The following is a 14,530-nucleotide window of genomic DNA, read 5'->3' on the forward strand; positions in this document are numbered from 1 at the left end:
TGAAGCCAGGAGTTCGAGACCAGCCTGGGGAACGAAGCAAGACCCTGATTGTACAAAACAAAACAAAACAAAACAAAACTGGCTCAGTGCAGTGGTGGGTGCCTGTAGTTCCAGCTGCTTAGTAGGCTGAGGCAGGAGGATCGTTTGAGCCCAGGAGTCTGAGACTGCAGTGAGACAAAATTGTGCCACTGCACTCCAGTCTGAGCAACAGAGTGAGACCTTGTCTCTTAAAAAGAATTAACTACATGTGCATGTACCAACTCTGAAATAGGAAGTGTGTAAGATGCTCTTATCTTTGCATTTAAACCTGGCATTGCACAATATAAAAATGAACAGAACAGTTCATTCTAATCATTTAAAAATTTACCTTTACTGAGAACAACAATAAATAGCAATTTTTTGATCATATTATTTGTTAAAAAATATTTGAGACAGGATCCTGCTATGTTGCCCAGGCTGGTCTTGAACTCCTGGGCTGAAGCGATCCTCCTGCCTTGGCCTCCCAAAGTGTTGGGATTACAGGCATTAGCCACCATGCTCAGCCTAAATAGCAAATAAAATCACTATGATAAATCAAGAGAGAGACTTTTGGAGAAAGAAAAAAGCTTTATATTTTAGTAACTTTAACTGCATTTTCCCCCTGCTTTTTGAACAAGGTTCCCCACCATTGGGCCCCACAAATTATGTAGCTTGTTCTGGATCTCATAGCTATGGCTGAATAATTCAATCCAGCCTGTCAAATTCTGGGGCCATGTTTCAAAAATAATTTCTTAAGTATAAGAAGCCTCAACTTACTAACAGATTGTGTTCCAGCTTGTTTTATAAGTCAGCAGCTTGGATTTTGGCACGTGTTTTCTCATAGGAACACTGTTTTGAATAGTGGTCAGGTTTCCAAGCTAGCCCACAAAAGCATACTGAAGCTATAACACAGCTGATTGTCTACAGTCTATTTGCTGTTATAATAATGTAGCTGAAGACCATTTGTGTGGTTTGCCAAATACTGCACTGTGGGGTTGCACTTAACAGTTGGGTGGGGTCAGGGGAATTCTGGTTGGTTCTGGCCAAAGAGCTGTGAATAGTGGCAGGTGCCACTCTGGGCCAGGGCCAGAGCATTTAGTGGGTGTTGTGAGACCCTCCAGGGTGCTCTGTTCTCCTGCCACAGTCACTGGTAATCTTCTGGGAATGACACAGAGCAGAATCCTGGTGGACTGTGATAGGCATGTTGCATGAGCAGGAAATCCGCCATTGTGTTTTAAGCCACTGAAATTTGGAGTTGTTACCAGTGCAAAAGATACACAGTCCAATTTTAGAAATAGTCCAATGTGAAAAGCTATAATGTCTTTGGATGAAACTGATAAAGGAATGGGAAGTATCTACCCTCTCCTCAGATGTTTAGACAGAAGGGATGCAGAGAGATGGGACAGTAGCTAGAGAGGGACAAAGGTCAAAGAGGAGTTTATTTGCTGATGCCTTTCTTATATTTTTAAGATAGGAGATGCGTAAGTGTGTTTATATGAGAGTCAAGAGAGACAGAGCTAGAGAAAGAGAGGTTAGGTACAATCAGTCTACATCTGCAGGAACCGAAGACTTAAGGGGGTTAACTAACTTGTGCAAATTCTTATGTCCTCACTTTACAGATGAAGGAACCAAGGCCTTAACAAGGTCAAGTCACTCATGCAAGTTTACATGGTTTATAACTGGTTGAACCATGTCTTAAACCCATATTGGTCTGACCCCGAAGCCCACATTCCTGACTGCTAGGCTGCCTCACCTCCTAGTTTTTGGGTGAGTTGAGTTAACACAGGAGCAGAGAGCTCGCGGCCCCACAGTTAGCCTGAGAGTCAGGGGCCTTGCTATTCCTGGTGAAAGTTCTGTCTACACAAGGCGCTGCTTCCTCATTAAAATTTATGCTGCCAATTCTAAGAATTTTATATAGAGTTTTCAGCCTTTTTCCTGTGAAAATTTTCCCTTAGGAAATCAGATGATATCGAACATCCTTCCACCATTGAAACTGGGTCATTCTAAGGAAATGTAGAATCTCAGGAAAGATTCTAAGGAAATAGAAACTCAGAATTTTAACACTAATGATATCCCTGCCATGTAATAAAAGAAAAACAAAGAGAGCAAGACTCGGTGACTTGCTTGGGGTTCAAGAGTGTATTTAAGAACATTTCCAAGAGGTCAAACAAGCAAGAGGGAAACGCCAGCGATGCTGGGAGGTACCCAAGTGTAGCCGCTGGGATAACATGGGTTATGGTTGCGGCCAGGAGGCCTCTGGAGTGTGACACCAAAATAAGGCTGCAGCCGGGAAGTTGTATCCTGGCTTCTCCCCCAAAGGATGGTGGTTTGCATCCCATTCCCGCCAACTGGCTGATGGCAGGTGATAGCCGAGTCACATGGAGGGGGCCCAGCCGTCCGGGGGTTACCACTTCCTCCTCGCCCACAACAAAGGCCCTCTGCCAAGTGGATGTGTCTATAAATGCCTCCACCTTCAGCTTTCGGGGAACCGTGGACTATGCCTTCTGAAATGACTCTTCAAAGCTGGAGGGAGCATTTCTTCCTCAGCACTCTGGCAGACAATGGGGAGGATAGGACAGTGACACTCACATGAAAGCACGAAGTTGGGATGAAGGAGATGAAGCAATTCAACAGTGGCAGATCTCGTGATAGTGGCAGCTTGGAAATAAAACAAGCCCCCGGTCACATGGTGTCTCGTACCGCCAGCTTCATGGTGTGACTGCTTTGCAAAGGGAAGTTGGCTCGGGCCACTGACAAAGAACATCTAACCCCAGCAAGGCATTGCAATGGGAGCCAGAGATGCAGCTTGATGGCTTGTTTGTGGCTTGGGGATCTACAGTGGCAGTATTTTGATGTGTCCTGTTTTCTGTCCAGGCAGGGAACAGGGAATAAGTGTGTTTTAATAAAGCTTGGCCTCTGTATACCTGTGACCTTGGCCTGGCTTGGCTTATCTGCTTATCCCATGTGCACCTCACTGAGTTATTTGTTTAGACAGCATCTTGAATGACTGTTTTGTTTTGTTTTGTTTTGTTTTTTTGACAGGGTCTTACTTTGTCATCCAGGCTGGAGTGCAGTGGCATGATCTCACCTCACCTCACTGCAGCCGTGACCTACCAGACTCAAGTGATCCTCCTGCCTCTGCCTACCAAGTAGCTGGGACTACAGGCACACACCACTGTGCCTGGTGAATTTTTGTCTTTTTTCAGAGATGTGGTTTTGCCATGTTGCCCAGGCTGGTCTCAAACTCCTGAAGTCAAGCAATCCACCTGCCTCAGCCTCCCAAATTGCTGAGATTACAGGTGTGAGCCACCTCGCCTGGCCTGAATGACTACATTTTAACTTAAATTTAGAATCTTAATTATTACCTAATATCTTCAAAAAGGTCACACAATGATGTAGCATTGAAATTTCAGAAGATGGCTTGCACACACCAGGCAGTGGAACTGATGGCAGTAAAGATGGCCAAATCTCTCAGGACAGATCCCGGAATTTCCAAAATTCAGAAAGTTAGAGTAATGGACAGTTTGTCAAAAACTTCCTGTTGACTTTCAGGAGAAGTCATGTAATTTCCGTAATGTGAAATCCCACTAAAGAAAGAAGAAACTTCAAGGGGAACTAGAAAATGCAGGCAAACTTAGGATTCTTGTGCAGGCCTTGAACTCATATTTTGAAGTATTTTAGAGGTCAAGGGCACAAGTCCTGGTTATGGAAAGCAGTGTGCCACCGAGGATGTTTTGCAAAGCTACTGATGATCCAGTATTATTCCCAAGGATCTCCAGATGCAGAATACAAAGCAGGCTAAGACTTAAATGTTGATTATGATACTAAAGAAGAAAGTGATGTATTAGTGTTTTGATAAATGTATGCTATTGACAGTTGAGTACAGAGGATTTTTAGAGCCATAAAACTACTCTGTATGATACAATAACGGTGGATGATACATGTCGTTATAAATTTGCCCAAACCCGTAGAAAGTACACCAACAAGAATGAACCCTAATGTAAACTAGGTAATTATGATGTGTCAATGTAGGTTCATCAATTGTAACAACTGTAACACTCTGGGGCAGAGCGGGGAGTGTTAATAATGGGAAGGCTGTGTGTGTTTGGGGCAGGGAATAGATGGGAAATCTCTGTATCTTCCTCTTAATTTTGCTGTGAATCTAAAATGCTTTAAAACATAAAGCCTTTAAAAATGCATAATTTAAACAAGGACAGGACTCAGGAGAGGTGAATGAGATACCTGGGGTGCAAAAGGAAGGAGATGCCCATTCTTGGGGTTGTGCCGGTACAAGGCTAAATGGTTGAGAAGTCCACCATGTGGTTTATAATCCACAGCATCTTAGAATTGAGGAAATACAGTGGGCACAGTTCCCCCAAGGGCTGGGGTTCTGAGCTCTGTATTGGGCCTTCCTGGCCTCACCATCTCCATGTGTTTTTTCAGCCTGAGCACCAGCTCCTCTGGGGAGGGGCTCCTGGAGAAGCTGGGTAGGGGCCCATCCTCTGCGCTCTCATCATGCCCTGTACGAGTCTTTCTGTGAGTCCTCATCTCAGTGGAATTGCTTTTAAAAATCTGTCTCTTGCCCAGACTGTGAAGTCCTTGGGAAGAAAAATTGTTGTGTTATACCTTTTGTAGTTGGCCCAACAGCAATGAATGGACAAGCTCTGATGTCCTGTAGAGATGGGAAAAAACATAGTCTTTTGCGGACTGAGCGATTAATTTTTCTCCTTTAATCATCAGTGCAGCCCTCTGGTGGGCTGATGAAATGTCTTCAGGAGCCAGAGAGCACTCCCAGTCCAAGCCTTACCCTTGTCTTCGGTTGAGGAATAACTTTATCATTTGGTTAAAGTGGAATATGCCCAAGAAAGAAAAAGTTTTGCTTTTTATGACTCATGTCAACATTTTAAAAAACATCTTAAGGAAGTTTAGTCAAAGTGCTTAGGGAACTTTGGAAAAAAGATGCCACTATCTATGTCCTAGTGCATTGCATGAAGTCCCAGGTGCATTGTGTAAGGTCTCAGGTGCATTGTGTGAGGACACAGCTACATCGTGCGAGGCTGCAGGTGTGTGGCATGAAGCTGCAGGTGCATCAGTGTGGCTGTAGGCTGTTTAAAATCCTTCTTGTTCCACACAACCTAAAATGCTCACTTTCTATAGAAGCAATACCTCCTAGTTTTGCTTAGATCCCTAGACAAATAGTCTGCTTTCATAGGAGCAAAGGCATGGCTTATACCTGACTCTAGTTTCGAAAATGCAATGTTTAGAGCTAACAGCCTTCTCTATCTTGCTAGTACTCCGTAGCCACAGAATTTCCTGTTCATTGTATCTGGGAATCATTTGGATCTGTTTGTACTGGCTTATTATGATTTAAGAAGACTTGAGTTTGTAGCATTTAAAAAAGGAATTATATTTTATGTAATATGTACTTTTATTTTGGGTTCAGCAGAGCGGGGAGATGGGCAGGAAGGGGGAAGTGCTGATAGCTAAAGAGATTTACAAGAGGATGAAGAAGGTCAATATCGTGCCTCATTTCCCCTTCCTAGTGATAACTGCTAATATATTTCTATGGAGCCTCTTTTAATGGTATGTATTTCAAACATTTTGTTATAAACATAACACTCGGATATTATAGAATTGAAGGAAAAACACTTTTAATGCCACCACTCAGATAACCAGTGTTGCTATTATGATGCCCTTTGTTTTTTTGCTATGCATATAAAGTCAAATACTAAATCTACATTACAGTGTAAGCATTTTCCTGAACAAAAAAACATGGCACACACTTTAATTGCACAAGACAGAAACAATAGCACACAGAGCACACACATAAGCCCTATATCTCAATCTCACTTATAGACCTTGATGAAAAATATCAAACAAAATATTGACAATAGAATCCAGCAATATGGTTTAAGAAATGTATCATGACCAGTTGAAATTCATTTCAGGAATGTAGAGATTAGAACATGTTTGGAAATCTATTAATATAATCAACCTTATATAAAAACCCTGTATGATTATCTTGATACTGAAAAGTCATATGAAAATTTCTGTGATTTAAAAAAATCTCGAACTAATAGTCAGCATTATGTTTAATTAAACATAGTCACATTAAAGTCTAAAAAGATGAGTGTCATCATTATTTTCTTGTTCTAAAAATCCTAGTCAACACAACGAGCAAGATAATTAAACAAGATGTCTAAACACTGACAAGAAAGAGGCCAAATTATCTTCACTTGAAGATAATATGATTGCTTACAAAGAGAATCCTAAAAAATTTTAGACATAATATAGTTCAATAGACTGTACAAAATAAATATATAAGTATATGAAAATATGTAGAACAAATATTTAAAAATCATATATTTAATATATATTTAAAATAATACATAAAAACTTAGAGTTTCTTATATATCAGCAAAACCACTTAAAAGTAAAATGAAAAATATATTCCATTCACATCAGCAGCAATAAAATAAAACACCTAGGAATACATGTAACCAAAGTCAAAAGCAAAACAAAGTCAAATCAAATCTTTATGAACCAGTTCTGAGAGAAGTAAGACTAGAATGAACTGAGAGACAAATCTTGTTACTGGATGGGAAGATGCAATGTCAGAAAGAGGCACATTCTCCAACAGATCTCTAAATCCTATGTAATCTCAAAAGGAATCCCTAAGGGATTCCAAGTGAATTCTAAAACTCAGCATGAGAATAGCCAGGACCATTATGGAAAAGGCAAGTAAAATGGAGGTACTCCTCCCAGTAAATATTATTATTATTATTATTTTTTGTTCTAAGCCTGCCATTGTAGTGAATGACTACCACATATTAACACAAAGCTATACTAAGTGTGTATGATACTGATACAGGAAAAGACAGGTCAATCGAGCAAGTTAGTTCAGAAAGATCCAAGTGAGTGAGTGTGTGAGTATGCATGTATATGTGTGGGTACATTTGCATATAAATATATATATCAGAATTTAGTATCTGATAGAGGGGGCATTTCAAATATTTGGAGTAATTGTCTTTTTTTGTTTGTTTGTTTTTGAAACAGGGTCTCTCTCCGTGCTGGAGTTCAGTGGTATAAGCTTGGCTCACTGTAGCCTCAACCTCCTGGGCTCAAGTGATCCTCCCACCTCTGCCTCCCAAGTAGCTGGGACTACAGGCGCACACCACCATGCCTGGCTGATTTTTGCCTTTTTTGTAGATGCAGGGTTTTGCCATGTTGCCCAGGCTGGTCTCAAACTCCTGAGCTCAAGCCATCTGCCTGCCTCGGCCTCCCAAAGTGCTGGGATTACAGGCGTGAGCCACGCGCCCAACCAGAGCAACTGTTTATTAATAGGAAAACCATAAAGCTGGATCCTTATCTCATATTTTTATACCAAAATAAATGGAAGATAATAAAAAATTCAAATATGAAAAATGAAACCATAAAATGCTAAAATATAGGTGATTATTTTTAGCCTTAAAGTGCGTAAGTCATGATACCAAAAAGCAACTATAAAATATTTTATAGATTCACATAAGTAACATTTTCTAAAAGTCCTTTTGCATATTAAGAGTAATGAACAGGCCGGGCGCGGTGGCTCACGCCTGTAATCCCAGCACTTTGGGAGGCCAAGGCGGGCAGATCACGAGGTCAGGAGATCGAGGCCATCCTGGCTAACATGGTGAAACCCCATCTCTACTAAAAATACAAAAAATTAGCTGGGTGTGGTGGCGGGCGCCTGTAGTCGCAGCTACTCAGGAGGCTGAGGCAGGAGAATGGTGTGAACCTGGGAGGCGGAGCTTGCAGTGAGCCGAGATGGTGCCACTGCACTCCAGCCTGGGTGACGGAGCAAGACTCTGTCTCAAAAAAAGAAAAAAAAAACACAAAAAAAGGGGAATGAACAAAGTTGAAGTACAAATGATAAACTAAAAAAATGTTAACCATACATGTGACATTGGGTTAATATCTCTATAATACAAAAGAAATTTACAAATTAATTTGACAAGGACAAGTTATTTAATTAAAAAGTGATCAAAAGATATAAAGAGGCAGTTCATAGAAGAAAAAACAAATGAGAAATAAGTATGTGAAAATATAGTCATTCTCACTCATAATGAAAGGAATACAGATTAAAACCATGTAGTCCACGATTTGCTGCCAGGTTGGTGGTGATGGTAGGTTCAGTTATCAGGTATGGTCAGTGTGGAGAGCAGTGGGCTCAAAGAAACTGTTGCTGGGGGTGTAATTGGTTCAGACTTTCTGGAGGGCAGCTTGCCAGCATGTGTTACCATGGAAATAGGTGTATTCATTGACTTAGAGAGTCCTGTCATCTGACTGCATCCTAAGGAGATAATTGGCCAAGCGTGCAAATTCTGAGTTACTGTTAACATTTTGCCATATACGAATTTTAAGTTGGTGGTGGTTAAATTAATTGATCATTTTCTTTGTGGTTTCTTTTATGCTTATGTAGTTCTTCCCTTTTCTATTTTTATTTTTATTTTTTTACATTTTGACAATTACCTGGAAGGGTTTTGATTGTAAAGTGACATGGTATTTTAAATTAGTATTTTTCCAAGTTTTCATTTCCTCACAACCTTTTGTTAAATAATTCATCACTTCACTGTTGATCTGAAGTGTACCCTTTATCGTGTGTCAAGTTCTTTGTATAAGATACATTTCTAGATTCTTAATTCTGCTCTGTTAATGTGTCTGCCTATGACTTGCTTATACTTGCAGTTTTAATTTAATAAATATTAAAAGGAAGAAGTACCAGTCACTAATCAATACTATTTTCCCCCTACATTTCTTGTTTATTCTTCCAAATTTGTGAGATTTCACTAAAAATATCCCATTCGAATTTTAAATGAAATTAATGAAGCCATAAATTAATTTGGGAAGATTGACACATTGGTTTCTAATTTGCAGGAAACCTATGGGTTCTTGGTCATATCATTTTGCTCATTAATCCAACCAGGCCATAGGGCATGGAGCTGGAAATTGACCTCAATGGGAAGGTGGCCACGAGACCCATGACAGGCCCTCACTAGCCTGGCTTATGTAAGGAAGGGGCCAGCAATCATGGGAAAGGCAGGGGCACTCCCTGTGAGAATTTACAAACTAGTGGCATTATGGGCCACAGACTTATTAAGTTTTACTCCAGGATGGATTTGCCCAAGGGGAAGCAAGGTGTGTTTTGACACAGATCCCTTGGTCTGGGTGAAGGGGTGTGGAAGAGCAGGCTGGAACTGTCATTGCCCTATTCCAACTCCCTGCCCTCAATAGGGACAAACTGCCTTGGTAAGAGCTCCAGCGGCCTCTTTGAGATCCCACCAGGGTTTGGTGGAGAAGCAGAAGGCAGCAGGCCTCTGAATAAGGCAGACCTAGGTTTGATTTGTGATGGCTGTGTGATCTTGGGCACATTTCTTAACTTCTCTGACCTTCATCTGACACATGGATAATGGTACTTCCCTGATAAGATTGTTGTTTGTAACCCCATCAAAAAGTGGGCAAAGGATATGAACAGACACTTCTCAAAAGAAGACATTTATGCAGCCAAAAAACACAGAAAAAATGCTCACCATCACTGGCCATCAGAGAAATGCAAATCAAAACCACAATGAGATACCATCTCACACCAGTTAGAATGGCGATCATTAAAAAGTCAGGAAACAACAGGTGCTGGAGAGGATGTGGAGAAATAGGAACACTTTTACACTGTTGGTGGGACTGTAAACTAGTTCAACCATTGTGGAAGTCAGTGTGGCGATTCCTCAGGGATCTAGAACTAGAAATACCATTTGACCCAGCCATCCCATTACTGGGTATATACCCAAAGGATTATAAATCATGCTGCTATAAAGACACATGCACACGTATGTTTATAGCGGCACTATTCACAATAGCAAAGACTTGGAACTAACCTAAATGTCCAACAACGATAGACTGGATTAAGAAAATGTGGCACATATACACCATGGAATACTATGCAGCCATAAAAAATGATGAGTTCATGTCCTTTGTAGGGACATGGATGAAACTGGAAACCATCATTCTCAGCAAACTGTCGCAAGGACAGAAAAACCAAACACCGCATGTTCTCACTCATAGGTGGGAATTGAACAATGAGAACACATGGACACAGGAAGGGGAACATCACACACCGGGGACTGTTGTGGGGTGGGGGGAGGGGGGAGGCATAGCATTAGGAGATATACCTAATGCTAAATGTCCAGTTAATGGGTGCAGCACACCAACATGGCACATGTATACATATGTAACTAACCTGCACATTGTGCACATGTACCCGAAAACTTAAAGTATAATAATAATAAAATTTAAAAAAAAAACACCCTAAAAAAAAAAGATTGTCGTTTGTGTTAAATGAGATAATAACACAAAATATCGGTGTAGGTCTGGCACATGGTCATACTTAACAAGTGGTAGCTATTAGCAATACTAATAAGATTAATGTTTTTTGGTGGTGGTGGGGATTGAACAGGTAATGGATACAAAGAGTTATATGCCTGAAACATATGACCTATTGTTATTGTTGTCACTATATTATTATTATTACTATTATTGAGGTTGTTATTATTGGTGTAGCATCCAGGCATTCCACACAGGACCCTAAACCACTTGGGTACAAAGGCACTCATTGTGAACTGTGGTGGCAGGGGCCTCAGGCCTGTGCCCCACCTGCCTGTGTGGTGTTGCCCACAGGAATGCTGGTGGACTTGGCTCATGTGCCTGCGCTCCTGGCCATAATGATGTGGGATCCCCCACAGCTCAGCGCCAACCACAGCCTCTTCTCGGTTTACAAATCCCCTTCCCACCAAAAAAGAAGGGCTGGGGAAGCAGCCCTTGACAGGGAGATCACAGGCTCAAGTTTCCAGTGCCCACCCAGCCTTTCTGAACTGTGGTGCCTTAAGCAAATCAGGTTACCTCTCAATGTATCCTTTTGCTCATCCATACAGTCGGGTCAACATAACTAATATTCGCTCCCTCCCAGTGCTGTATGAGGACAGAAGGAGAGATGTGCAGACAGCATCTGATGCACAGTAGACCCCCAACTGGGGTCACCAGATAAATGCAGGACACCCAGTTACATCTGAATTTCAGATAAACGACAGGCATTTTTAGTATAAATATACCCCAAATATTCACAGAACATTCTTACACTAAAAAAATTATTTGTTTCGGTAGAAGAGCACAGTAAATCTAACATAAAAAAGACAAAAAAATTATTTGCTCTTTTTCTGAAATTCACATTTACTGGAAATCTTATAGTTTTCTTTGCTAAATGTGGTACTCTTGCCTCCAACAAATGTCACTTCTTCCCCCCTTATCATGTGTACGCATGAATTTGTAACTCTGACCATCTTCTGGTTCATTGTGAGGGTCTCATTAATTCCCATGAACTCATTCAACCAACACGTGCTTGTTGGGCTGGTACAGAAGATGAACAAAGGCAGAGGACACAGATTCACCATGATTTCTGGCTTGAGCTTGTGTTATGAAACACCCTGGCAAGGGTCAAGGGCTGTTCCGTTGTGAGCTGTTGGTGTTATGGTGACCATTCAGGTTCAGGGCCTCCTTTTAGCCTGGAAACTCCAGGACAGCATTTGTTCTCTTTCAGGAGCTTAATGTAGAGCTTAATCCGTCACCTTCCCCTGGGTCTCTGGGAGGGCCAAGTGGTGCACACGGGATTAGCACCTCCATGCTTGCAAAGCTGCATCCCCAACCCGCACCCCTCTTGAGCTCTCCTCACACCTGACTATGAGTCAGCACTTTATTCTGGCTCCCCTGAAGGCATGAGCCCTTCCTGTCTGCCTCTTGTGGAGATGGCTTTCTGGGGCCTTCAGAACTATAAAGGGAGAGGGCAGCTGGCAGCCCTGGCCCACACCTTCAGATGTGCCCTGGGTGCTGCCTCTGCTGTGTCTCCTGTGTCTCCTGAGCAGGGAGAGGGACTGCAGAAACCTGCACTGTCCACTCGCTACCTCCTGGATCCTGCCGGTCTCATTCTGTGGCTGTGGTCCCCGCCGGCTGGGTAAAGTGATGGCCCACCTGCCCGAGTGGAGGACTGGGATGTCAGCAGATGGGTGCAAGTGAACGCTCTTTCTGCGTTTTTGAAGTGCTTGAGGTGGAGGGAAAGACACCTTACAAAGCTCTCAGTCACCTTTAGGAGGGGAGAAGTTCCCAATGTACTTCAAGCTATTTACAAACTTGTATCAGGGTGACATGCAGGTGGATGGTTGAGCGGCTCTCCCAAGGGGAGAACAGAGGCCCCGGGGTATAGACCTGGATCCAGCTCCGGTGCAGGCACTGGGACCTCAGATTAGCACTTCTTTATGCCCCAGTTTTCTGTCTGCAAATCTGTATAATAAAATGCCAAATTCATGGGGTTGCTGGAAGATATAATGAAAAGATGCAACAGAAGTGCCTGGTCTAGAACCAAATATTAATAAGAGAAGGCAAAGGCTGATCTGAAGTCAGGTTGAAATGGCTTCTCTTGAGCAAGCCAAAAAGATTTCCATGAAGCCATGCTTTGTGCAGATGTCCTGGGGGATGAGGGGTGGGCTCCAGTTCCTGCTTCCCTCCCCCTGGCCTCCAGGAAGTGTGTATGAGTGAGTGAGTGTGTGTGTGTGTGTGTGTGTGTGTGTGTGTGTAGTATGGAGAGGGTGATATTATCTCACAACAAAACCACCACCTGACTTTTAGAAGCTGAAAACCTGTCTCTGCAGAATTCCCACTAGCAGGCACACCCAAAAAACAATGCCAGAGGAATTTTGTCACACCCGGGAAGGGCTAGTGATTAATTTAATGATGCCTCTGTCCTCGGTGACAGATGGGTTTGCATCTGTGTGATGTAGAGTTTAAATGGTAAGTACTCCTCCTTGTTTCTATGCCCACCAATATATAGCCACCAAGAAAAGTTACCCCAAAACGCTGCCATGTGGGCATTTTAGATGTGGAAAGAAGGGAAATGACATTTCTTGGGTGCAACTAGGCCCCAAGTGCTCTGTAAACATCACTTTGTTCAAACTTCCTTAGAACCCTATATCATAGATAGGTTTTATCAGTTTATAGAAATGGGTGCCCAGAGGTTAAGCAACTCCCCCAGTGTCATGCAATTGTAAGTGAGGGAGCCAGGATTCACACCCAAGACTGACTCTGTGGCAACAGAGGGCCTCAAGCCACTGCTCTGTCCCCCATGCCATGGCAGATGCTGTGCACTGACTGTGGCACTCTTTCTTGCTGCATCAGGAGGCAGCCTTAGTACTCTTGCAAATACAGCCAGCCACCACCAACCTGCAGGGTGGGGGCTATGATCTGAATGCTTGTTTCCCCCCAAAATTCATATGCTGAAATCCTAACTCCCAGGGTGATATTAGGAGGTGGGGGCTTTAGGAGGTGATTAGGTCATGGGAGTGGAGCCCTCCTGAATGGGATTAGTGCCCTTATCATAGGAGCCCCAGAGAGACCCCTAGTCCCTTCTACCATGTTGGGACACAGCAAGAAGCACCATCTATGAACCAGAAAGTGGGCTCTCACCAGACACCAAATCTACCAGTGTTTGGTCTTGGATCTCCCAGCCTCCAGAACTGCGAGAAGTATTTTTTCTGCTGTCTTTAAGTCACCGTGTTACGGTATTTGGTTGCAGCAGCCTGCATGGACTAAGAGTGGGCATGCAAACCAAGCCCGTGGGCCATCCCAGCACCATTCATGCTGCCTTCCACCTGGCATTGTTGGGCTCTTTGTGTCAGCTCAGGTGGGTTTTAGGGCCCAGCTCCTCTGCAGAATGCTGATGCCTGGTTCAGGTAGGCAGGGCCAGGTATAGGCATGCAGGGAAGAGTCAGGGTTTCCTGCGAGGATTTATTGTTGATGTGGGAGTTTTTTCATTAGCGATCCATATATTTGAGTCAATCATTGCCCTCTCCTTTTTTAAGACATAAGTACCTCTGGGATAGGTAACACCTGTGCTTTACTGCAAATTTACCTTCTGGATTTTTTTTGTTGTTGTTGTTGAGAAGGATAAGCTAGACTTTTCCGGTTGTCTGGGGGTACCGGCTGAAACCCAAAGCTTAGAACAACAGGCAGTCTCCCTTGCCATGCTCCTCTCTTCCCGCAACACACACATTTTAAAGACAGGTGCTAGACCCTCCAGGCAGAACTTGCTAAGAAGTATTCCAACTGGTCCTGCAAGTCCTGGTCTTGGCACTTCATCTACCTCCAGCCTAGATCCAATCAAAGGCTAAAGATTGCTCAAAGCAGATTTCTTTAATGAGAAAGAATGTGCCGACTCCCTGTTGTGGCTCCCCACTGTGGCTCCCGAATCTGAGCATTAAACACTTGGGAGTGGCATGCACTTTCACAATTTGTTGGGGCCAGGGCTGGAATGTTTCTTTGGGGTCCGAGGTGACATGATCTCTTGGGTGGTATCCAGGCCCCAGGGACTTGAAAGCACTCCACTCAAGATTTCTGTCTGCCGAGGAGAGGAGACCCCAGCAGAAAGAGCCCCGGT

At 43.0% G+C, this 14,530-nt stretch overlaps 1 long non-coding RNA gene across 1 annotated transcript in view, besides 1 other annotated feature; it reads left to right on the forward strand.

Moving 5' to 3' along the window:
* Positions 1-8,775, forward strand: part of LOC124901982 (uncharacterized) — a 29,564-nt gene extending 20,789 nt beyond the window's left edge. The window contains exon 2 of the long non-coding RNA XR_007061015.1: positions 3,061-8,775. This is a non-coding gene — a long non-coding RNA (uncharacterized LOC124901982). The remainder of the gene's footprint in view (positions 1-3,060) is intronic.
* Positions 2,382-2,481: an enhancer, noted in NCBI's record as "active region_27650". NCBI's record gives its function as "activates an Ori minimal core promoter by ATAC-STARR-seq in GM12878 lymphoblastoid cells {active_cell/tissue: GM12878}" and the evidence as "EXISTENCE:reporter gene assay evidence [ECO:0000049][PMID:35858748]".
* Positions 8,776-14,530: the final 5,755 nt, after the last annotated feature.

Source organism: Homo sapiens, chromosome 8, assembly GCF_000001405.40.
Source record: "Homo sapiens chromosome 8, GRCh38.p14 Primary Assembly".
Classification (NCBI taxonomy): Eukaryota; Metazoa; Chordata; class Mammalia; order Primates; family Hominidae; genus Homo; species Homo sapiens.